Genomic DNA, 25,452 nt, shown 5'->3' with positions numbered 1-25,452 from the left:
TTTGTTTCTCAATAGCAATAACTAACCCATCTCTCGTATCTGAAACATATCTTTCTTTTATTTTCAAATTGTAATTTCTTACATTTTTTTGTTATATCACAGTGAAAGTCAATCTGTAATATGTTTTGAAAATAGGCAGAATTCAGGCCAGGCGCGGTGGCTCACACCTGTAATCCCAGCACTTTGGGAGGCCAATGCAGACAGATCACTTGAGGTCAAGAGTTTGAGACCAGTGTGGCCAACATAGTAAAACCCTGTCTCTACTAAAAATACAAAAATTAGCCAGGTGTGGTGGCAGGTGCCTGTAATCCCAGCTACTCGGGAGGCTGAGACAGGAGAATTTCTTGAACCTGGGAGGCGGAGGTTGAAGTGAGCCAAGATCACCACTGCACTCGCCTGGGTGACAGAGTGAAACTCTGTCTCAAAAAAAAAACAAAGAAAATAGGCAGAATTCATATATTAAGACTGCTCTACAGGGTCCTACAATTAATCCATGTAAATGAAAAAACAATGCAACTTAGAGCAGCATTTATCAACCTTGAATGTGCATAGAAATCACCTGATGATCTTATTAAAATGCAGACTCTGATTCAGAAGCTCTGGGGTGGAGCTGGAGATGCCACATTTCTTACAGGCTCCCAGACAAAGTTGATCCTGCTGGTCCTCAGCCCGCACTTTGAGTAGGCAGGGCCTGAACAATATTCTGCCATGACATGAATGAAAAGCCAGTCTAGGAGGAATAATGGGTATGATACGGCCCTAAGAGAGGATGACTCTCAAAATGGCCAGTACTACAAACTAGAGCCAATGGGATTCCCAGATATGTTTCAATCTTTAAAAATCAAGATGTCTTACATCCATCATCAATATTTTAAGTTTTCTAAAAAATCCAGTTCATGGTTTTCAAAGAAGTTGATTCTGACTCATCTGTTAGACTCTACCATATACATATGAATAATGTTCTGGTTGATACATTTTTAAATTCCTATCATTTTGAATGTTTTTGGGAGGAGACAGGACAAGAAAAGAATACTCAATGAAAATTTGGGAAGAGAAAGCTTCCATTTACTTAAACATTTACTAAACACCTATTATACCCCAAATACTACTTTAAGACCTCAAAATACATTTGCCTTTTTCTTTTCATTTATTTATGTTGGTTTTATCCTAATTCTTCTTTATTATCTTTTGGGGCAATTATCATGTAACACACAGCATAATCATTTTGCTAGTGAATGAATCCACATCACTTGAAGAAAATTCATCAGCTGTGATATTGACTAAGAAAGTGTTAATATTTGAGTAACAGCTAGTTTAAATTTTCTTTCTTTCCAGCTTATTTCCAATTAAGTGTATTTCTTCTCCTGGCCTGACATGTTACTTAATGATAGTCTCTGAAATACTTCATAGTAAAGACCTAGTTTTTCCAAAGTTGTCCATGTCAGGCCTCTAAGCCGAAGCTCAGCCATTGTAACCCCTGTGACCTACACATATACATCCAGATGGCCTGCAGGAGCCAAGAAGTCTGGGGCAACCGAAAAACCACAAAAGAAGTAAAACAGCCAATTCCTGCCTTAACTGATTAACCAACATTACAACATTCCACCGTTGTGACTTGTCCCTGCCCTACCTTAACTGATCAACCGACCTTGTGACATTCTTCTTCTGGACAATAAGTCTTATGATCTCCCCACCATGTACCTTGTCACCCCCTTCTCTGCTAACAATAAATAACCACCTTTTACTGTAATTTTCCATTAGCTACCCAACTTCTATAAAGCAACCCCTTCCCCATCTCCCTTCGCTGACTCCTTTCTCAGACTCAGTCCGCCTGCACCCAGGTGAATTAAAAGCTTTATTGCTCACACAAAGCCTGTTTGGTGGTCTCTTCACACAGACACGCTTGACAGTCCAGTCTTTACAAATCCTCATATTGCCCACTGTTACACATATGTATGTCTCCTCCACATAATTTCATGGATGAAGTAGGAAAAAACTTGCATTTTTGTTAAAGCTAAAATTAACCAGTTATCTACTATACATAAAGGGCTAGCTGAGTCACTGCATTTATTTCATATAAGTACAAAAAGAGTTAAGTTTTTTTTCTAAGTCAGAGGCTTTAAAGCCAAGTATACTAGTTTTCTATTACTGTGGTAACCAATTACTATCAATTGAATGGCTTAAATGACACAAATTTATTATTTTACAATTCTGGAGGTCAGAAGTCCAAAATACACTACCATTAAGCTGTCAGCAGGTATGTGTTCCTGGAAACTCTAGGAGGAAAACCATTTTTTTGTCCTCTCCAGCTTCTAGACACCTCTCACACCCCTTGTCTCCTGGCTCCATCCTCCATCTTCAAACCCAGCATTGTCGTATCTCTCTCTGACTTTCTTCCAGTCACATCTTCCTCCAACAAGCTCTTGTCTTCTGTTTCCCTATTCCTTTTAAGGACCCTTGTAATTACATTGGGCCCAATGGGATAACTCAGGATAATTACCCTATTTTAAGGTCAATTGATTTGCAATCTTAATTCCATCTGCAACTTTAATTTCCCTTTGCCATGTAACCTAATGTATTCACAGGTTCCTGGCATGAGAATGTAAACATCTTTGGAGGCCCATTATTCTGCCTACCACACCAAGACAGTGTTCTTTTTCCATTTACTAACTTCAATTTTCCAAAAACACCTTAGTTCTCTTACAGTTTCTCAATACTAGGAAAAGAAACCATTGGAGAATAACAGTATAAGATTACTGGTAGCAACAATGTGTATTTCAGTTTTTGACCATAAGCTCTGAATCTACTGGAATGACCCTCATACCCAAGGAGAGAAATGAATACAGCCAGAATGGCCACTGCCACATAATCATCTGCTCCTGGATGCATAGAGCCTGAGATTCCTGACTCAGATCCTGGTAAACTGAAGCCATGGAATATGGAATCCAACTGTGGCTATCAGGATAAATGATTCCTGCAATCCAAGTTGGCTAGAAAAAAGGGCCTTCACATTACAATTTTAAAAAGTTAAACTCTTGCAAAATTACTCCAATAAACTTAGACTCATTAATATTGTACAAGGCACTAGGTAATAAAGTTTACGGTCTTTTTAACATTAAAAGTGAAAAGTAAAATGGCTAAATTATAGTAGCCTAATCATTTCATGCCATTACTGAGGATTGACAGGTTGGTTGTTTTAACAGCTGTACAATGCTTAAGCTCTAAGGATTCTAAATCTCAAATAATAAAAAGAATAACACTTTGCATGAATGTTTTTATGAATATATCTCAGACATACTTTCTCACAGGCACTCTTTGTTAAAGATAATTATTATGTTTCAATCAGGAGCCACAGAGTAAAAAATTACAACGCTGGCTAAAGGTCCTATACAATCTGAAGCTAAATATGAAGCAAAGTAAATGTTTCACATTTGAATCTACTGTCTGACTTCTGGGATAGAAAAAGTCCTGTATGGTGATTAGTATTTAAAACAGGCAAGTCCAATCATTGAATGCTAAAAGATAAATTATATGACAGCATATCAAGCTGACTCTACTATGGTTTCATGTCACACAAAGGTTATGAGAGGTATATCATTTCTTCTGAGCCTTGTTTTTCAATGCACAGTAAGCAATGCTAATTATGAAAAGCAGGCATCTCTTGGGTTAACCAACACCCTCAATTTCTACCTCTGTTCACCTGCTGACCCCTGCCTTGCTCCCACAACACAGCATCTACTGCAAGAGTGATGCTGAGGGCTGTTTCTAGAACCTATGGCTCCCACAGCATCTCTGTATTCTTGCCCAGCACTGCTCTTTAGCAACATTCAAATAGGCCAGCTCTAAGTAAGATCTGACTTAGGAATGGGATAAGGCAGTGTCCCAAAAGGAGTTTTGCTCACATAGCCCCTCAAAGAATTCTGAAAATCTATGCACATATTTTTAAATAACATCTCAACATCCTTAACATAGTTAAGTGTAAACACTTGAAAAAGGGACATCTTTCTGGCGCTCTATGGGTGGTATGCTTGCTTCATATACATATGCATCAGAACCTCAGGGTTGCAGATTTAGCTCATTCAGTATACAGAAAATGTCTGCTACACAACATAATTGGCAAAGCCAATCCTCATTGACAAGCCAATCAACCCAATAAGACTTTCTGTCAAGGCAACTCCGACATTGTTGTTCAATCAAATATAAAGATAGCCCTGGTGACAACCATCTATCTTCTGGAAGCTAAAAGGAACAGACAGAAAAGCACACCTCAGAGTCTTGTCACGGGCTCCTCACTTGGATGAATGGGGAGAATGAAAGGAGAACTGGCAGGCATCACGCATGTTCAGAGGGAAATTAGTTTCAAGCAGAGTTGGAAGATGAGGATCTGAAAATTAAAACCCTTGCAACATTCTATACCCTGTGAAGTCTTGTGGGCCTAAGGGTATGTGCACAGTTTGGAGACTGCTGGGCAACAGAATTGAAATTCCACTCTGAAAGTATCTAATATAATGCAAATATAAGGTGTTATTTTTAAACCAAAAGCCTCTCTGCATTTCTTTGAGGCATCCTAAGCCTTTGGAAATTTTTAAAACAGGTATCATGTTCTCTTCATCAGAATGGAGGGTCAACAAGAGATTATAATCTTGCTGGTGTAGCCAACCAACTGTATAGTCTTGGATAAACAGTTCAGGGAGTCCCAGGAATTGGTTCTACAATTTCTCTGAGTGCTTTAGAACTTCATTGCTTTTGTTTTAAGCCTCTTCCTAATAATCTTTTAGCGTGTGTCTTAGTCACCTTTACCCTGAAATTCCTAGGTCCATCCATGAGTTCATTATTGGGCCTTATGCCCATGTTCTGTTCTCCAGGGAGGTTGAAGAGGGCCTTTTAGTGCCAGAAATAGAAAAACTTTCAAAATGATATACTAATAATAACCTGCACCTGTCAAGATTATCATATTGTGCCAACAGAGGAGCTGCTTATGCAAACTACTGTAAATTTGTACATGGGAAGACAGAGAAGTGTGTACAGTCACCTTGGAAATGCACTTTGAACATCTCTGTCTCCTAATATGTACGGGGTAAAGGTTGAAAGTAAATTATTGACAATGGGGGAAAAAAACAGATGCAAAGAAGACAACTTTATTAGGTGCTTTCTCTCCCTTATGAGAAGGATTTGGTTCTTTCAGGTGAAGTTCCAAATCACTAGACAATACCCAGTTTCCTTCAGTTGCAACAAGTTCATCCCACGGTGGGTGCTCTGAAAAGCACCTTGAGGGCGAATGGGTCTCAGGCCATTCAGGATCAGGTCCGATGCTTTTGTTGAAGATTCTTCCCGTGTCACCTCTTAGAAGCAGTTCGGTGTCCCCCTCCAAAGAGCCCACCACCTGGCTGCGCCCCACCTCCATTTGTCCCCCAGTTGCCAGGTAAGGGTACCCAGCTACCAGGTAACGGTGAGTGGTTCAGAAGGTGCCGCTGCGGGGGCAGCCAGGCCTTCACACGCAATCACTGGGGAAGAGGCGAGGACACGGGTGGATGCTGGAGGCGCGCACGTGCGCAGGTGCTCGCGCATCCACACACACACACACACACACACACACACACGCACACACAGGCACGGGGTGCGGGGCGAGCAGGGGGAGGGGACGGCCTTACCAGATCAATGAACGTCAGGAATTTCCAGCTCCCTCCGTAGGTCTGGTGTGAGGGCATTTCGATGGCCTTGTAGTTACACAGGATAGAGCAGTAAGACAGCAGGATTGCCATCCGCAGCACCTGGCAGGGGACAAGCGCCATGTTCGCCAGAGGCCTGGACCGGCTGGGCGGCAAGGAGGGCGGGCGTGAGGGAGGCGCCGGGCGCGCGGGGGCGGGCGCCGTGGGAACCCGGGCGCGGGCGCGGGCGCGGGGCGGGGCGGGGCGGGGGCGGGGGCGGGGGCGGGGCGCGCGCCCCCGGGGACTGGCGCGGCCGCGAGCGCCCGGGTGACCTGTACTGGCCGGGCGCGGTTTGCGGACGCTCTCCACTGCCGGCCGCGGCCTGGCAGGCGGCGTGTCGTCATCTCTTTCGTCACCTTCGTCATTCTGCTCCTGCGTTCGCAGGGTCCCGGGACACCCGGCCAGGAGGCGCCCCCTAGGCATCCCAGGTGTGGATGCGACCTCTGAGTGCTACGAGGGCTCGGGAAGTGCGCGCTGATCTCCAGGGGGAAGCGGGCCCTGTGGCTAGTGGGCGCCGGGCCGGGCGAGGGGGCGGGGAACCTAGACTGAAGGAGTGGACCCCAGTGTCCACAAATGTTCCCGCCCCGGAATCGCGGTGACGCTTCCTGGGGTAGTTGCAGTTGGCCGAGAGCTGGTGCCCCGTGCGGAGGGATCCGGTGGGGGTGTGAACGTGGGGTGTAAACCCGAGCACAGGCAGCCGCGAGTGACTTTCAGTATTTTGGGGCAATAAGGTTTTCAGTGTTGACAAACGACTGTCAATCACTAGGAAACTCTCTCAATTCTGCTTTCAATGGGTAGGCTACGCAGCACTTTTCCATGACAGATTGAATAATGTCATATCAGTATATAACATCAGCTAGAATATGAACTTTGGACAAGAGGTTTATAGATAAAAAGCTATAAAGAAAGGATTTTCAAATAACTTTCTGCCACAAGATTGCATTCAGCTTTAAAAAATTCCAATTTTGGATGTAAAACCCCTGCGTGTAATTTAATACTAATCATCTGGTTGTTAAACTGGTTTTGCCCTTACTTTTTTCTTACACTACACTACCAGGGCTTAATGGAAGGAAAATAAATATAAACTGGAGTCCCTCCTGCCTTCCAGTAAATGTTGTCACACTGAAGTTGCATCAGTCTGTGGGCAACATTTTCATTTCAGCCAACCAGTTGCAGGTTCGGATTATGAAAAGGCAACATAGGTATTTCCTGTGGATCCATTTAAAACAGGTGTCCTCTTCAAATAGTCTCTGAGTCAGAGGATGTGGAGGGAGGGCTGGTGGGGAGAAGCATAGTGCTAGAGGTAAAGAGAAAGTAGCAAGCAAGCCATGGATGTTTTCCTGAATGTTTCCAATCAAGCTCTAAACTAAAATGAAGAGACCCACTAGATTTTTTTAATTGGCATTATAATTATGCTAATAGAACTGATGTCAGAAGAAGATTCTACTAGCATTAAAACGATGTATTATTGATGATTTTTGGTTAAATCTTAATGTAAAAGTTGGCTTTATTTTTTTAATTGTGCATCCTTGGTACATGGTTATAAACTGCCAAAAAAATAAAAATAAAAAAGAGTAGATCTATTGAAGATCTACCTACCTTAATAATGTGTCTGGAATTGGTTCCTGCCGGTAGATTAGTGGTCTCAGTGACTTCAAGAATGAAGCGGCAGACCTTGGTGGTAAGTGTTACAGCTCTTAAAGATGGCACAGACCCAGAGTGAGCGATAGCAAGGTTTATTGTGAAGAGTGAAAGGACAAAGCTTCCACAGCATGAAAGGGGACTGGAGCGGGTTGCTGCTGCTGGCTGGGGTGGCCAGCTTTTATTCCCTTATTGTCCTCTCCAGTGTTCTGTTTCTGTCCTATGAGAGTGCCCTTTTTTCAGTCCTCCCTGCGATTGGCTACTTTTAAAATCTTGCTGATTGGTGCGTTTTACAGAGTGCTGATTAGTGTGTTTTACAGAGTGCTGATTGGTGCTTTTTACAGAGCGCTGATTGGTGCATTTTACACTCCTCTTGTAAGACAGGCAAGTTCCCCAAGTCCCCACTTGTCTCAGGAGGTCCAGCTGGCCTCACCTCTCAATAGAGCCTTAATAAAGTTTTATGAGTTAATGTGATATTTGCAAAGTTTGATATACCCTTCCTACTTTACATGTTAGACAATTATTAAGACTCCCCAACCCCATTGTTACAAAATGAAATAATATTTTCATAAAGCCATTTTTAATGGTCAGGTTTTTTGTTTTGTTTTTCTTTTTGTTTTTTTGTGAGACAGAGTCTAGCTCTGTCACCCAGGCGGAAGTGCAGTGGCATGATCTCAGCTCACTGCAACCTCTGCCTCCTGGGTTCAACTATTCTCCTGCCTCAGCCTCCCAAGTAGCTGGGACTACAGGCGCATGCCACCACACCTGGCTAATTTTTTTTGTATCTTTAGTAGAGATGGGGTTTCACCATGTTGGCCAGGTTGGTCTTGAACTCCTGACTTCAAATGATCCACCTGCCTCGGCCTCCCAAAGTGCTGGGATTACAGGTGTGAGTCACTGCGCCCGACCAGTTTCTTTTAAATAAATAACTATAACTCTTAATTAAGTATTTAGAACCTATTCTGCTGGGTTTGCTTTTGTTTTTTCATGATTTGCCAACCATGATCAGATAGTTTTGTGCTTTAAAAAAATGAAGCGTTTGTATAAAACTTGACTCAAATACTATTTTATGAGAATGTCAGTTCACAATTTTTGGAACTTCTTGATAACTATTAACATGTCCAGGCTTGCTTTCTGTGCTTTTCAGACCATATCTAACAATCTTAGTCATGTTTTACAGATAACTTTTGTGGAAAATATTAATCTACACACATTGTGTTTTTACAGCGTAAACAATTGCTTTTAAAACTTCATTAGGTAAGTTATTACTTTTTATGAACTATAATACATTATTCACTTCTAAGTATTCTTATGATGATTCCATATTTGATTTAGATAATACTGTTTTCTATGTATAGAAGAAATATTTGCATGTCTTTTTTTTTATCTTTTTCATTCTACTACACAGTTAGTGAGACTGGAGGAGAAAAGCCTCATCCAGTTGAATTTCATCAATAGCAGTAAACATAAGAAACACCAAGGGAAGATTTCAAGAACCCGTTTTAGCTTCAAGCTATATTCTTTGATTGTTGTAATATTTCTTAGACTATATATGGGGCTGAAGATACCCTTTCTTAAGTACTTCTAATAATTGAGACAGACTGTTCATTCCTTTTTTTTCTTTTGGAGGGGGGGTGTATTAGTCCATTTTCATACTGCTATGAAGAAATACCTGTGATTGGATAATTCATAGAGAAAAAGAGTCTTAATGGACTCACAGTTCCACATGGCTGGGGAGGCTTCACCCTCATGGCAGAAGATAAAGGAAGAGCAAAGTCACATCTTACGTGGTGGCAGGCAAAAGAGTGTGTGCAGGAAACTGCCCTTTATAAAACCATCAGATCTCCTGAGACTTATTCACTATCACAAGAACAGCACAGGAAAACCTGCCCCCATGATTCAATTACCTCCCACCAGTTCCCCCCCTACAATGCGTGGAGATTAAGGGAGCTACAATTCAAGATGAAATTTGGGTGGGGACACAGCCAAACCGTATCAGGGAGGATGTCTGTCTGACATACTGATGATAATACCTGTTAATTTGGGAAATGACTGGGACTCCTATGTCACCCTTAAATTGTATTCCAAGAAGCCAACTTTATGTAACTATTGGTCGTTGCTTAAAAGTTCAGGAGGAAGAATTGTGTTTATACATATCCTTGCAGTATTCGATATTTACACATTTCCTTTGGTTCTGCATTTACATGAGATAAGCATTTTCTAACAATATCAATATATTTGGAACAAATTTTTTCTCCCCATTTATCTGTACTTCAAGGGTGAAAGTTAGGACATGTCCCCCTCAGAGGCCTGGGCATGGAAAAAGTCTTCAGTATTACAGAAAAGATACCTCTGAATTATTTTTATTCATTATAAATGTAGCGTATTTATGATACTAAAATGGAAACGCTACTTTTAAAAAAACATTTTCCCCACTCTCTCCACCCAGAGAAAACAATGAACATTTTAGCATATTCCTGCAAGTCTTTTACAATATAGAGTTAGCTGATTGTGACATACTATATAACAACTTGCATCACAGAGATTTCTTCTGCCTCAAGTTTAATAGCAATTTTCTCCTATTTAAAACATTGTAAAACTCATGTTTAATGATTGCATAGCACAACATCATATGGACATATATTTTGCTTAAACTTTTTTTCTTTTTGGATATTTATGTTCTTTTAAAGTTTTCACCACTAAATACACAGTAATGTCTGTATTTTGAATTGAGAAAGCTACTTTTTAGGATTATATGGAACTCAAAACCAATTAAGAAACTACACTTCTAGAACCTACTGTGTGTTGTTCATGTTTGTTTATATGAACTGAGGTGACAGAGTTCTTTTACCCTGGAGGGCAGTTGGGAAAGATTAAGAGAAAGAAGTAGGTAAAAATTACTCTTTTTTTTCCTTACAATTGATGCTTATTACAGCTTTTTCAAATTGCCATAGACACAAAATGCAGTACCAATGCATTTAATTAGCCAGGTGTTTTTTGTGTTTGTTTTGGGGGTTGTTGTTTTTTTGTTTTGGATTTGGTTTGTTTGTTTGTCTTTTTTTTGCTATTAACCAGTAAAAATTGTTCTTTACAGGCCAAATGAGCAGCAGCTACTAGTGGTTGTGTTGATGCTGCAAGTTTTCACTGATTTTAAAATGGACTGTTTTTGCTACAGAGAACTCTATAAGATTTCTAAACACCGAGGATTCTATGGAGGGTCATTGAAAAGTGTTAGAAAAATTAGGGTCTAGATGAGTCGTGAGTCTTGCATGATCTCATACAGATGCAAAACATCTCCGTCACTCTCTAGTACTAGAAGTGCATTTACCAGTGCTCCTCATCAAGCTTGGAATGCTCTCTCTTCGTGTGCATGTATCCAAACCCAACACATCCAGCAAGACTCAATTAAGTCCACTTCATCTGACAGTCCCTCTTTGGGACATATGTTGTAGCCACCCTGCTCTGAATGGTCTACCTGGATGGCTTACTGGTGACACAAATCCTACATGCATTCATTATACTCATTATTTCCTCCTCAAAAACTGACCCACTGCAATTAGAAAAGTCAGGACAGAGCCAGATGGCCTGGAGGTGCCAGTCTCTTAATGGTGCTAAAATGTCCCTGGAAGCTAGCAAGTTGAAAGTAATATACTCACCCAAATTCTTCTCAGGGAGACTACTGTATGATGTTAAAAGAAATGTTATCACAAGCTACTTGGTTGGATGGATGGTGGTGACTGGTGAGAGAGACTTTCTAAAGCATTCTAGAGTGACAGTAAATGATTATAAAATCTCCACCCCCGATGGGTATACATTGCAGATGTAATTAGTCAAGATGACATAATGCTAGAGTAGGATGGGTCCCTTATGCAATTTGACTGGCATCCTTATTAGAAGACAGAGATACACAGGGAAAATGAGATGTGAAGGCAGAGACAGAGATTGGAATGATGAGGATCCCAGGAATCCCAAGGACTGCTGCTGTCATTCGAGTAATTGCACAGGTTTTGTTTTGCTGAATGAAGTATTTAGGAGTTGGAGCAGAGCTAAATTGCTCTGAGTAGTAGAGAAGAGGTGGACATCCTACCAGAGGACCTTCCTTCTCCAATCCTTCTAGATCATTCTAGAATAGAAGCCTTCAGCCTCTATTCTAAATAAGTGTTGAATATTTAAAGGATATAATAGTCAAATTCTTTAAAGATCAGGCATGTATCATAAGTAAATCTAGATGTAAGGTAATAGGGCACGATTGAGTCTCTGAAAAAGTGGAGCAAATGCCATTTACTCTTTAGTAAAGACATTTCCATTCAAATATTTAAAAATTGTGTCAGCCAAAAATTAAAATTAAAAAATGCCCACCTTTGTGCTAGAGTCAGCTCATAGTGGACTGCAGTTGGGATTTCTGGATTTTTTGTTTGAAAGAGTGCCCTGTGAATGTCTTACCCACAGTGTCTGCAGGACCCTGGCAGGCCCAGTTTGGAATCCTACTCAAGCCCTCCTCCTCATCTGTAAGAGTTAAGGCTACTTTGGCTGGAATTTACGACTCTATTTCTTAAAGCAGGGTGGAGGAAAACATGAAGATGAGTCAAAAGGGGCATGTACACTGACCCTTAAGAAAAGTTTGCAGAAGATACTGTCACACAACACTTCCACCTTCACTTCTTTGGCCCACATTTATCCATGTGGCCACAGCTGGGAAAAGTAGCCTCCTTTCTGGGTAGAAATGTGCCAGCCGGAAATCAGAACTCCATTAGCATGGAAATGAGATGTCCTGGATTGAATTGTGTCCCCTAACAAGATATGTTGAAGTTCTAATTCCCAGTACCTCAGAATGTGGCATTATTTGGAAACAGGGATATTGCAGATATAATTAGTCAAGATGACATCATACTGGAGTAAGGTGAGTCCCTTATCTAATATGACTGGTGTCCTTATAAAGAAACAGAAAAGGCCAGGTGCGATAGTTCACACCTGTAATCCCAGCACTTTGGGGGGCTGAGATAGGTGGGGATTGCCTGATCTCAGGAGTTGGAGACCAGCCTGGGCAATATGACAAAACCCTATCTCTGCAAAAAATACCAAAATTAAGCGAGTGTGGTGGCATCTGCCTGCAGTCCCAGCTACTTGGGACTGAAGTAGGAGTCCTGAAGTCAGAGGATTGTTTGAGCCCAGAAGGTGGAAGCTGCAGTGAGTTGGTTTTGCACTACTGCACTCCAGACTGGGTGACAAAGTGAGACTCTGTTGAAAGAAGAAGAAAGAGACAGAGAGAGAGAGAGAGAAAAGGAAGAAGAAGAAGAAGAGGAGGAAGAGGAAGAAGAGGAAGAAGAAGAAGAATGAAGACAGGAGAGGAGGAACAGAAAAGAAAAGAAAGAAAAGAAAAGAAAAAAGAAAAAGAGAAGAAAAGACAGAAACACACGGGAGAAACATCAAGGACTGCCTGCTGTCACTAGGAACAAGGAGAGAGGCGTGCAACAGATTCTCCCGCACAGCCCCCACAAGTAACTAACCCCACTGAAACTTTGATTTCAGAGGTATATCCTCCAGAACTGAGAGACAATATGTTTCTGTCACTTCAGCCACCCAGTTTGTGTTACTTTGTTGTGGCAGCCCAAGCAGACTAATCCAAGAGAGAAAGGAGATATTAGGAGACCACTAACAGTTGTTACCACAATTTCCCATCAATAGTATAATTCTAGTAATTTGTTCTCTGCAACGTTTCTCCAATTTGAACCTTCAAGTCTATTTTTCCTGCTGTTGCCTTACTGAGTAAGCTCTGTAAGTGGTCTTACTGCCTCCACGTTTGCATTTCCATGTCATCCTTATCACTGCCACTAGGATTATCTTCCTGAAAATATAGATCAGATTAGATTACTTCTCTCCTAAAAAATTGTCAGTGATTTCTCATGACCTGCAGGAAATCTCACTCCCTTAGCATGGCATTCAACATCCTCTGTGGTTTGGCTGACCTTAACCCCGTTTTTGAACTTCTGTAACTGCATCTTTCTAAATAATTATGTATTCCGTTATTATAGGAATACATATTTTCTCCCAAAACTCAGCATTTACTTTTACTTTTCCACACCCTTCAAGCACTAATGATTCATATTACCTTCTCCATCTGCTGAAATTCTACTCATCTTCCAAGGGCCAGCTCTGGTTGAAATTCTATAATAATGCCTGCATTTGCATAGTACTGTGCCATCTAGAAAGCACTTTCACATTATACTAAATGCAATCATGGCATCTTCTCAAGATGTCTGTGGCATCTCAACCCTTGGGCATTCCTGCACAATGACCATCCCCCATATAATAGGAATTGCCCTGGGATGCTCTTCACATCCAAGTAGCCAATCCATAGGTGAGGCAGTTATCAGCAGGCATTCCCTCTCTTGTGTAAGATGGAAATCTTATTTCCCAATAGTTTGAGATATGTGAAGCAGCTAATTAAACTATCCTCTTTGTACCCAGACTCTGTCCATAGAAGGCAAGGCTTTGGGGAAATTGATAGCCTCTGCACAAAGCAGTATTACAGAAATGTGGAATGCAGGGATGATAGGATGGGTTGATACTTCTTACCATATTAAGTAACTTTTTCCCTTGAATTAAAGGCAGCTAAAATGCCTGCAGTCCATTTATTGGGCCCCTGTGTTAGTCATCCACAGAGGTAGTTGAAAGTCAGTTTTAGAAACTAGCATAATAAACATCCAGCACAAAAGAGGAGTGCAACAAAATTAAACTAAGCACCATTATTTAGTTTTCAAGAGACATGGGATTTGCCATGAGAGATGTTAGCACCAAGCTGCCCTGCCAAGTGCCAAAAGCCAGTTTAAATTATCTGTGACGCTAGCCAACTGAGAGCCCAGAGGACTCCAGCTTCCCTCGCCCGAGAGAAGACCTTAGCAGGCCTGTCAGAACCAAAGCTTGTTCTGACACCTTGTTCCCCCAGGAGCTCAGCATCCGGTTTCCATTCCCCTCAAAACTTCACCTGTCAAAAAAAAGCAGATGAATGGCTCACATCACTGATGTCTAGGCTGTGGCTGTAGAAGATGATCAGACCCACAAGGACGTTTAGAAGATTACCTGGAATACAGTGAGGTGGCTGGGCCAAGCCATGATTCTGAGTCAAGTCAGAATCTGCTGGAAGGACTGCTGAGAAATATTTTATTAGTGTAGTCCTTTTCTTTCCCTGTTTTTTGAATTCACTGTGCGTATCATGGCTGGAGGTGCAGTTGCCATCTTGTAAGCGTGAGAGAAAGAACAGAGAATTTCATAGATATTTGCCCTGATATCAATAACCTGCTGAACCAAGTGGGCAGTTACCACCTTCCAGACTTCTTGTGATTTAAGAAAAACAACCCCCTATTTGTTTAAGCCAATGGAGTACAGTGTTCTCTTATGTGCAGCAAAATGGTGGTACAAAGAGATATGTGGGGTTATTTCCTGGTATTCAATTTTTTTTTTTTTTTTTAATGAGACGGAGTCTCGCTCTGTTGCCGGACTGGAGTGAGTGCAGTGGCGTGATCTCGGCTCACTGCAACCTCCACCTTACAGGTTCAAACAATTCTTCTGCATCAGCCTCCTGAATAGCTGGGACTACAGGTGCCCGCCACCACGCCCAGCTGATTTTTGTACTTTCAGTAGTGACAGGGTTTCACCATGTTGGCCAGGATGGTCTCAATCTCTTGACCTTGTGATCTGCCTGCCTTGGCCTCCCAAAGTGCTGGGATTACAGGCATGAGCCACTGAACCCCAGCCTTTTTTTTTTTTTTTTTTTTTTTATGTGATGGAGTCTGGCTCTCTTGCCCAGGCTGGAGTACAATGGTGCAATCTCAGCTCACTGCAACCTCTGCCTCCTGGGCTTAAGCAATTCTCCTGCCTCACCCTCTTGAGTAGCTGGGATTACAGGCATGCACCACCTCGCCAAGCTAATTTTTGTATTTTTAGTAAAGATGGGGGTTTCTCCATGTTGCCCAGGCTGGTCTTGAACTCCTGACCTCAGGTGATCCACCTGCTTCGGCCTCCCAAAGTTCTGGGATTACAGGCATGAGATACCGTGCCCCGCCTTTATGATTATCCTTTTAAAAAGTGCTGAACTGACTGGGTGTGGTGACTCACGTCTGTAATCCCAGCACTTTGGGAGGCCAAGGTGGGTGGATCACTTGAGGTCAGGAGTTCGAGACCAGCCTGGCCAACATGGTGAAACCTCATCCCTACTAAAAATACAAAAAATTAGCCGGGCGTACTGACACATACCTATAATCCCAGATCCCAGCTACTTGGGAGGCTGAGGCAGGAGAATTGCTTGAACCTGAGAGGCAGATGTTGCAGTGAGCTGAGATCACACCACTGCACTCCAGTCTGGGTGACAGAGCCAATCTCTGTCTCAAAAAATAAATAAATAAAATAAAATAAAAAGTGCTGAATTATAAGATAGTGGGCTAGTCTTAAGGAGACCAGGATTCAAATTTTATGCATTTTTTAAAAAATAACAAACACGCATCTAATACTATGGGTCAGGCTCTGAGCTTTACACTTTACAAATTTTAACTCATTTTATCCTCTTTGAGGATGGTTACTATTATCTCCATTTTACAAAAGAGGAAATGGAAGAACAGAGTAAATTAGATAAACTGCCCAAAGTCACACAACCTGTCAATGGCAGAGCTAAGATAGGAAACCCATGCATTTTGGTTCTTAAACATTACACTGAGCTGCTTGATAGGTAGTCAGTGCATATCCTATCCTAGGTTCTGATTCACATTCATATCGGGCAGAAACAATGCCTATATTTCAGCATCTCTGTAGACATAATTGTCTGATTCATAAGGATGAGAAAATTCTAGATAATAATTCCAAGAGTCACACATCATTTCATAATTTTTGTAGACTTTCCATGTATTGACAAGCTTTTTGTTATCATTTGGCAATGCCATTTTATTTTATGATATCTGAGCCATCTGGTGTTACCTTTCTTCTTGAAATGAATGCTTCATCAAATTCCTATGTATGCTCCATTTCCCCATTATTTCTTTCACGTAAATTACATTCCATCATTAGATTCATCCAAGAATTATATTCATTTTCATTTATTTGCTGGAATTTTAAGCAAATTTTAATTTGCCAGATGTCCCTTTAGGTTTTACTTAAATTGATTAATTATTTTTGTTCAAAATCCTCTTTCTTTCTACCTTAATATATGTCAGAGGCCAGACATCTTTATATTGATAGATGCAGAATGACAGAATCTTCTATGGAGAAAAACTTAGAGATCATCTAGCTCAGGTCTTTCATTTTATAAATGATGAAACTGAGGCTCAGAAGAGTTAAATTACTTTCCTAACATCACAGTCAGTTGGTAGTGATGACAGCGGGGGAGCCAGAAGCAGGCAGGGTCTGCCCTCCTGGGTGCCGCTGCAGCTGCCCGACCTGCAGCTGCAGACCTGGTTGTCCCACTCCATCCACAGAGCAGGCAGGAGCCGGGGACAAGTTGGAGACCTGCCCCTTCCGAGTTGGTGGAGCAGGAGCTCGCTGGGTGCAGCTGTGACTGCCCTCCCAGGTGCAGGACCTAGGCGTCTCTGTAGCCTGCATCCCCAGGGGCCTGGGAAAGCCCCACCCATTCAATTTCTGCTGGCTCGGGGATGTCCACTCCCACTGCCTGGCCTCTCTCCTCTCCTTGTGCTTGCTCTAATCTCAGAGCCGGGTTGGGACTGAGCCCCAGGACTATGAATGGCAGGAGAGACAGACAGATTCCTGGGCGGAAGGGGATGGGTCCCCAGTAAGGCCCCACCTTCAAGCCAAGGAGGGCCTGAAGGCTGAGGGCCAGGCTGCCAGTCCTGCAGACTGGAGTAGGGACTTGTGGTGCCTCCTCCAGGCCCACCCATGGCCACCCATGGACCAATCAGCACGCACTTACTCCCCTCTGAGGTCCATAAAAGCCCCAGCTCAGCAAGAGCAGGGCAGAGGATGGAGAGAGGATGGGAGGACCAGCAGCATAGAGGAGCTACCCTCTCAGGGCCTCCTCTCTGCTGAGAGCTGAACATTCCGCAAGATGACCTGTCTATGGAGAGGAATTACCCACTGTGGGTTTCCTCCGAGCTGTTGTAACACTCAATAAAGCTTCTATTCATCTTGTTCACCTTCCACTTATCTGGTACCTCATTCTTCCCAGATGCAGGACAAGAACTCAGGCAAAGGCTCCACTGGCCACAGAGGTTTCTGGCCAGAAAAACAACACCCCAAAGATCCTGCAACAACAGTAGCAGAGCTGGGTCTAAACTTTTATTAGGGTAGCTTTTCTTTTCTTTTTGTTTGAAATAATAAACTATTTTTAGAGCAGTTTTAGGTTTACAGAAAAATTGAGCAAAAAGTAGAGTTCCTGTATTCCCGTATATTCCATCCCCACCAACTGCCCCACCTTGCATAGTTTACCCTAATATCAATTTGTTGCATTAGTGTGGTACATTTATTATAACCAATGAACCATATTGAATTATCATCACTAACTAAAGTCCATAGTTTACATTAGAGTTCACTGTTTGTGTTGTATAGTTCTAAGGGTTTGGACAAATATATAATGTCATATATTTACTATTAGTGTATGATACAGAATGCCCTAAAAGTCCACTATGCTCTGCATCCCTCCCTCCCTTTCCCTGGGACCCTGGAAACCACTGATCTTATGACTGTCCTATTGTGTTGTCTTTTCCAGGTGTCATATAGTTGGAATCATATTGTATATAGCCTTTTCCTACTAGCTTCTTTCACTTAGCAACATTTAATAGGTTCCTGCATTTAAGGTTCCTGCATGTCTCTTTATGGCTTGATAATTAACTAATTAGTTTTCATAGTTGAGTTAAATTCCATTCTATGGATGTATCACAGTGTCTTTATACCTTCACTTAAGAGCATCTTGGTTGTTTCCAAGTCTTGGCGCTTATTAATAAATATTTATTTGCAGGTTTTTGTGTGAACATAAACTTTCGATTCATTTGGATAAACACCAGGGAACACAATTGCAAGATCATGTGGTAAGATTATTTTCAGCTTTGTAAGAGACTGCCAAACTATCTTCCAAAGTGGCTGTACTATTTTGGATTCCCATGAGAAAAAAAATGAGAGTTCCTATTGCTCCACATCCTTATCAGCATTTGGTGTTGTCAATGTTGAATTTTAGCTGCCGTAATTAGTATATAGTAGTATCTCATTGTTATTTTAATTTGAAATTCCATGCTGAGATACAATGTAGAGTACCTTGTATGCTTATTTGCCATCTGAATGCCTTTTTTGGTGAGGTGTCTGTTCAGATCTTTTGCCTATTTTAAACTTAGGTTTGCTTTCTTACTGTTATTTTAAGAGTTTGTTGCATATTTCCTATACGAATTCTTCAACAGATATGTTTTGCAAATATTTTCTCCCAGTCTATGGCTTGCTTATCATTTTCTTAACAGTGTCTTTTGCAGAGCAGAAGTGTTAAGTTTATGGAAGTCTCACTTAAAATTTTTTTTTCATGGATCATGCGTTTGGTGTCTTTTCTAAAAACTCATTTTCAAACCCAAGGTCACCTTGATTTTCTCACTTTGATATTGTTATCTTCTAGAAGCTTTATATTTTTTCATTTTAAATTTATGTCTATGATCCATTTTGAGTTAATTTTTGTGAAGGTATAAGTTCTGTGTCCAGATTAATTTTCGTTACCACGTGGATGTCCAGCTGTTCCAGCATCATTTGTTTAAAAGACTATTTTTGCTCCATTATATTGCCTCTTCTTCTTTGTCAAAGGTCAGTTGACTATATTTATGTCAATTTATGGGCTCTCTGTTCTGTGATATTGATGTATTTATTTTTTTCTCTAATACCACAGCTGTTTTAAGGACTATACAGTACATTTTGAAATCAAGTAGTATCAGTCCTCCAAATTTTGTTTGTGTTAGCTTTCTGGTTCTTTTGCCTTTTCATATCAACTTTTGAAATAGCTTTCCAAAATAACTTGCTGATATTTAACTGGGATTGCATTGAATCTATATGCACAATAGAAAGAACTGACATTTTAACAATACTGAGTCTTCTTACCCATAAGCATGAATATCTCACAATTTATTTAGATCTCTGATTTCTTTCATCAAAATTTTGTAGTTTTCCTCGTGTAGATTTTATGCATATTTTATTAGACTTGTACCTAAATAGCTTATTTTTTTGGTGCTAATGTAAATGGTGTTTTGTTTTTGCTTTCCAATTCCATTCGTTTATTGATGTTTTATAGAAAAAAGTAGACTTTTGTCTATTAATCTTTTATCCTGTAGTTTTTTTAATCATTCATAAGTTCCAGAAGATTTTTGGTTTATTCTTTGGGATTTTCTGTTTACACAATCATGATATCTGTGAACAAAAACAGCTTTATTTCTTCCTTCCTGATCTGTATACCTTTTATTTCCTTTCTTACCTTATTGAATTAGCTAGGACTTCCAGTACAATGTAGAATAGGAGTGGTGGGAGGGGACATTATTGTCATATTCTTGATCTTAGGGAGAGAGTATTTAGTTTCTCACCATTAAGTATGATGTTAGCTATATGTTTTTTAAAGCTATTCTTTGTCAAATTGAAGACATTCCCCTCTATTCCCAGTTTGCTAAGTCTTTATTATGAATGCGTGTTGGATTTTGTGAAATGCTTTTTCTGCATCTATTTATATAATTATATGATTTCTCTTCTTTTACCTGTTGATGTGGTAGATTACATTAATTGATTTTTTAATGTTGAAGAAGCATGGCACACCTCAAATAAATCACACTTGATCATGTTGTATAATTCTTTTTCTACATTGTTGGGTTCGATTTGCTAATAATTTGTTGAGGAATGTTGCTTGTATTCATGAGAGATATTGCTCTGTAGTTTTTTTTTTTTTTTTTCCTTATAATGTCTTTTTCTGGTTTTGGTATCAGAGTAATATTGCCCTGATAGAATGACTTAAGAAGTAGTCTCTCTGCATCTATTTTATGGAAGAGATTGTATGGAATTTGTGTCATTAATTCCTTAAATGTTTCATAGGATGTACTAGTGATTCCTCCTGGCCTGGTTCCCTCTGTTTTAGAAGACATTAATTATTTATTCAATTTCTTTAATAGATATAGGTCTCTTTAAATTGTCTATTTCTGGTTCTGTGAATTTTGATACTGTGTCTTTCAAGGAGTTTGTTTATTTCACCTGGGTTATCAAATCTGTGGGCATAGAGTTGTTAATAATATTCCTTTATTATTATTTTAATGTCTGTGGGATCAGTAGTGATGACTTCTCTCTCATTTGTGATATTAGGAACTTGTGTCTTCTCTCTTTTTTCTTGACTAGTGGGACTGCAGACTTACCGAATCTATTGTCTTGTGAAAGAACTAGCTTTTGGTTTGCTGATTTTCTTTATTGTTTTCCATTTCATTGATTTCTACTCTAATTTTTATTATTTCTTCTGCTTACTTAGTATTTAATTTGCTCTTCTTTTTCTAATTTTCTAATTTGAGGGCTTAGATTACTGACTGATTTTAAGTGTCTCTTCTTCCCTAAATATGCATTTAATGCCATAAATGTCCCCCTAAGCACTGCTTTCCCTACATTCCATAAATTTGGATAAGTTGTACTTTCATTTTTTATTTAGTTCAAAATATTTTTCAATTTCTCTTAAGACTTCTTCTTTGACTCATTTGTTGTTTAGAATTGTGTTGTTTATGAAAACTATAAAAACTCTAGAAGAAAATCTAGGCAATACCATTCAGGACATAGGCACAGATAAAGATTTCATGACAAAAACACCAAAAGCCTTTGCAACAAAAGCAAAAATTGTCAAATGGGATCTAATTAAACTAAAGAACTTCTGCACAGCAAAAGAAATTATCATCAGAGTGAACAGACAACCTACAGAATGGGAGAAAAATTTTGCAATCTATCCATCTGACAAAGGTCTAATTTCCAGAGTCTACAAGGAGCTTACACAAATTTACAAAAAAAAAACAACATTAAAAAGTGGGCAAAGGACACAAACAGACACTTCTCAAAAGACGACATTCATGCAGCCAGCAAACATATGAAGAAAAGCTCAACATCACTGATGATTAGAAAAACGCACACTGGGTGCAATGTCTCTCGCCTGTAATCCCAGAACTTTGGAAGGCCAAGGCAGGCGGATCACTTGAGATCAGGAGTTCAAGACTAGCCTGGCAAACATGGCAAAACCCTGTGTCTACTGAAAATTAGCTGGGCATGGTGGCATATGCTTATAATCCTAGCTACTTGGGAGGCTGAAGCAGGAGGATCACTTGAACCCGGGAGGCAGAGGTTACAGTGAACTGAGATCACGCCAATGCTCTCCAGCCTGGGTGACAGAATGAGACTTGGTCTTAAAAAAAATAGAGAGAGAGAGAGAAATGCAAATCAAAACCACAATGAGATACCATCTCATGCCAGTCAGAATGGTGATTATTTAAAAAGTCAAGAAACAACAGATGCCAGCAAGGTTGTGGAAGAAAAGGAACCCTTTTACACTGTTGGTGGGAATGTGAATGTTCAATCATTGTGGAAGTGTGACGATTCCTCAAAGATCTAGAAGTAGAAATATCATTTGACCCAGCAATCCCATTATTGGGTATATACCCAAAAGATTATAAATCATTCTAATATAAAGATACTTGCATGCATATGTTCATTGCAGCACTATTCACAATGGCAAAGACACAAAATCAACCCACATGTCCATCAGTGATAGACTAGATAAAGAAAATGTGGTACATATACATTATGGAATACTATGCAGCCATAAAAAGGAATGAGATCACGTCCTTTGCAGGGACACGGATGAAGTTGGGAGCCATTATCCTCAACAAACTAACACAGGAACAGAAAACCAAACACCGTATGTTCTCACTTATAAGTGGGAGCAGAACGATGAGAATACATGGACACATGGGGAGGAACAACACACACAGGAGCTTGTTGAGGGGGCAGGGAGAGGGAGAGCATCAGGAAGAATAGCTAATGGAGTCTGGGCTTAATACCTAGGTGAGGGGTTGATCTGCACAGCAAATCACAATGGCACATGTTTACCTGTATAACAAACCTGCACATCCTGCACATGTACCCTGGAACTTAAACGCTGAAGAAAAAGATTACAAAAATAAAAAGAAAGAAGTATGTTGTTTAATCTTCAAATATCTTGCGATTTTCCTAGCTATTTTTCTGTTATCAATTTCTAGTTTAATTCCATTGTGGTCTTAGAGCATACTTCATATGAGTTCTATTCTTTTAAATTTGTTAAGGGGTGTTTGATAATCCAGAATTTGTTCTATCTTGGTGACTATTCTGTATGAGCTTAAGAAGAATATATATTCTGCTGTTGTTGGAGGAAGTATTCTATAAATGTCAATAAGATCTAGGTGATTGATGGTGCTGTTTGGTTCAATTATGTCATTACTTATTTCCTGCCTGCTGGATCTGTCAATTAGTGATAGAAGGTTGTTGACTTCCCCAACTAAAATAGTAGATTTATTTATTTCTCCTAGAAATTCTGTAAATTTTTGCCTCATGTATTTTAATGCTTTTTTGTTAGGTGCCTGTACATTAAGGGCTGTTATGTCTTCTTGGAGAATTGACCCCTTTACCATTATGTAGTACACCTCCTTATTCCTGATCATTTTTATGGTTCTGAAGTCTGCTTTGTCGAGATTAATATAGCTACTTCAGCTTCCTCTTGATTAGTGTTAGCTTGATATGCCTTTCTCTATTCCTTCATATTAATTTATCTGTATCATTATGTCTAAAGTGGGTTTCTCGTATACAATATATTGTTGGTTCTTGTTTTTTATCTACTTTGACAGTCTCTGTCTTTTAATTAGTATATTTAGACTATGTTTAAAGTTATTATTTATATAGTTGGATTTATATCTGTCTTATTTGTGAATAGTATCTATTCATTGCCCTTGTGCTTTGTTCCTTTTATTTTTGTTTTCCACTGTTTTTCTGACCTTCTGATTTTGATTGAGCATTTTATATTATGCCATTTTTTTCTCATCTCTTACCATATCAACTATACTTCTTTTTAAAATTTTTGTCAGAGGTTATCCTAGAGTTTAAAATACTCACTTACAAATAATCCAATTCTACTTTTAAGTAACACTATATCACTTCAAGGGTAGTGGAAGTATCTTATCCTTGAGTATTTCAATTTTTTACTTTCATGCCTTGTAACATTTCTGTCAGCCAGGCTCGGTGGCTCATGCCTGTAATCCCAGCACTTTGGGAGGCCAAGGCAGGTTGATCAAGAGGCCAAGAGATCGAGACCATCCTGGCCAACATGGTGAAACCCCATCTCTACAAAAAATACAAAAATCAGCCAGGCATGGTGGTGCATGCCTGTAATCCAAGCTATTTGGGAGGCTGAGGCTGGAGAATCGCTTGAACCTGGGAGGCGGAGGTTGCAGTGAGCCAAGATTGTGCCACTCCACTCCACCACTCCAGCCCGGGGCAACAGAGTGAGACTCTGTCTAAAAAAAAAAAAAAAGAAAAAAAAAAAGAAAGAGAAAGAAAGAAAAAAGAAAAGAAAAAAATGTTTTATTTTACCCTTATTTATTCTTTCTGTAACATTCTCCCTTTCCTGAATTATATCCTAGCCTATATGTTTTTCTTCTCTTTGAAGGACTTTTTTTTTTTTAACATTTCTTGCAAAGCACGTCTACTGATAACAAATTTCCATGATTTTTACTTGTCTAAAAGTATTACTTCTAACTTCTGAAGGATGACCCAGGACAGAATCCTAGGTTGGTGGTTTTTTCTTTCAACACCTTAAATATTTCACTCCGTGTTCATCTTGCTTGTATGGATTGTGACTTCAGGGTAATTTTGATTCCACTAAGTCCTAATTTTCATGAACAACTTTCAGTGCAATGATTTAGTATTTTTTAAATTTCATTTCCTTTCAAAAGGTCTCATTATAGTAATGTATAACCTCTTTGAAGTCAGAAAATACTATTTCTTTGTAGTCATTTTTCCTTCTCCCTTAATCATACAGGAGAAAGGAAAGAATAGAAAAGGTACTGAACTCCAGGTCCAAGTCAATCATCTTTGCTTCTCTCACATTGTCATCGACATTTACCCCAGCATTATCCTCATCGCTTCATCACTACTGCCACCCCAACCAATCTGCCTCCTCTGTATAAGTATAACCTTCTTATTCTATTTATCGTTTATGAACTTTTGCCTCCTAAAACGTACACACTATGGGTCTTCAAGAGAAAGGGCGATGCTTAAATAATACAAATAGCAGAAATCTGGGGGAAGATGTGGCCCTTAGGAGTTCTGGAGTAACTCAAAAAATTCATTGAGTGTCTTGGAGAGACTAATTGCTCCTTTTGTCTATAGGTTCTTAATCAGTGGAGAAGGGAGCCAGCTTGGAACCCAATATCAGTTCTGTTGTTGGTTAAGATGATTTAGAGAGTGTGACTTGGACCTCTGGCAAAAATGAATATATGTATGTAAAGCTATTGACCTCTCTTATAAGGGCGCAGCTTGACCCAGTAAGTTTACCCTGGGCAGAAGAGAAAAATGTATTTTGTGAGAATGTTCATCTGAAAGAGAATTTTAAAATAGGCTTTTTTTTCCCCATTTTCACCACTTAATCACTCTTCACCAAGAGTAGTGAGCATAGGAAGAAGGGTGTAAGTCTCCTTTTAATATTTTCAGAAGGTAAGAAGAAGTTCCTATTTCATGGATCAGCAAGAAATCAGAAAATTCTGGAAACAAAAACAAATACTGATCTAACCAGTAGAAACTGGGGAGATGTTACAACATTTGTATGGGATAGACTCATAGGAGAGGGGAAAATGGCACCTGAAACTTAACTCCAGGGCATACATTTTTTAAACCAAGATATACAGACCGTAAGAATTCATTTTCCTTATTCCTGTACATCACAACATTTTCAACCTTCCCAATTTAAAACAATAACAATCTAAGTTTTATAATGTATGGAGAAAGAACTTTATCAGTAGAAATAGAAGAGCTGAATACTACACCTTCATTAATTGTTACAGGTTGTCCCCCCCTATCCTATCCTTGAAGAATCTTGGGG

The 25,452-nt window shown here is 39.9% G+C and overlaps 1 protein-coding gene across 24 annotated transcripts in view, besides 6 other annotated features; it reads right to left on the bottom strand.

Annotated features, from left to right (window-relative positions):
* AIG1 (androgen induced 1) overlaps positions 1–7,505 on the bottom strand; it is a 284,671-nt gene extending 277,166 nt beyond the window's left edge. For 16 of the 24 annotated variants that reach the window (NR_158960.1, NM_001366346.1, NM_001366344.1 and 13 more), the window contains exon 1: positions 5,652–5,829. Coding sequence is in view for 22 of the 24 variants with exons in the window: in NM_001366346.1 (NP_001353275.1) it covers positions 5,652–5,792 (141 nt within the window). In the remaining 2 variants the exon portion in view is untranslated. Of the gene's footprint in view, positions 1–5,122; positions 5,505–5,651; positions 5,830–5,980; positions 6,256–7,307 lie in introns of those variants that run through there. The other 8 variants (NR_158896.1, NM_001366351.1, NM_001366359.2 and 5 more) reach the window with 5 other exon arrangements.
* Positions 5,290–5,339: an enhancer, noted in NCBI's record as "active region_25193". NCBI's record gives its function as "activates an Ori minimal core promoter by ATAC-STARR-seq in GM12878 lymphoblastoid cells {active_cell/tissue: GM12878}" and the evidence as "EXISTENCE:reporter gene assay evidence [ECO:0000049][PMID:35858748]".
* Positions 5,530–5,599: a silencer, noted in NCBI's record as "silent region_17624". NCBI's record gives its function as "represses an Ori minimal core promoter by ATAC-STARR-seq in GM12878 lymphoblastoid cells {active_cell/tissue: GM12878}" and the evidence as "EXISTENCE:reporter gene assay evidence [ECO:0000049][PMID:35858748]".
* Positions 5,850–5,939: a silencer, noted in NCBI's record as "silent region_17623". NCBI's record gives its function as "represses an Ori minimal core promoter by ATAC-STARR-seq in GM12878 lymphoblastoid cells {active_cell/tissue: GM12878}" and the evidence as "EXISTENCE:reporter gene assay evidence [ECO:0000049][PMID:35858748]".
* Positions 5,850–6,833: a biological region, named in NCBI's record as "H3K27ac-H3K4me1 hESC enhancer GRCh37_chr6:143381022-143381960".
* Positions 5,895–6,833: an enhancer, noted in NCBI's record as "H3K27ac-H3K4me1 hESC enhancer chr6:143381022-143381960 (GRCh37/hg19 assembly coordinates)". NCBI's record gives its function as "activates a minimal SCP1, AML or CMV promoter by ChIP-STARR-seq in primed H9 embryonic stem cells {active_cell/tissue: H9 hESC(primed)}" and the evidence as "EXISTENCE:reporter gene assay evidence [ECO:0000049][PMID:30033119]".
* Positions 5,940–6,069: an enhancer, noted in NCBI's record as "active region_25192". NCBI's record gives its function as "activates an Ori minimal core promoter by ATAC-STARR-seq in GM12878 lymphoblastoid cells {active_cell/tissue: GM12878}" and the evidence as "EXISTENCE:reporter gene assay evidence [ECO:0000049][PMID:35858748]".
* Positions 7,506–25,452: the final 17,947 nt, after the last annotated feature.

This window comes from Homo sapiens, chromosome 6 (assembly GCF_000001405.40).
Source record: "Homo sapiens chromosome 6, GRCh38.p14 Primary Assembly".
Taxonomy (NCBI): domain Eukaryota; kingdom Metazoa; phylum Chordata; class Mammalia; order Primates; family Hominidae; genus Homo; species Homo sapiens.
Note: the sequence above shows the minus strand (reverse complement) of the source record. Positions and strands in the feature narration are given on the sequence as shown.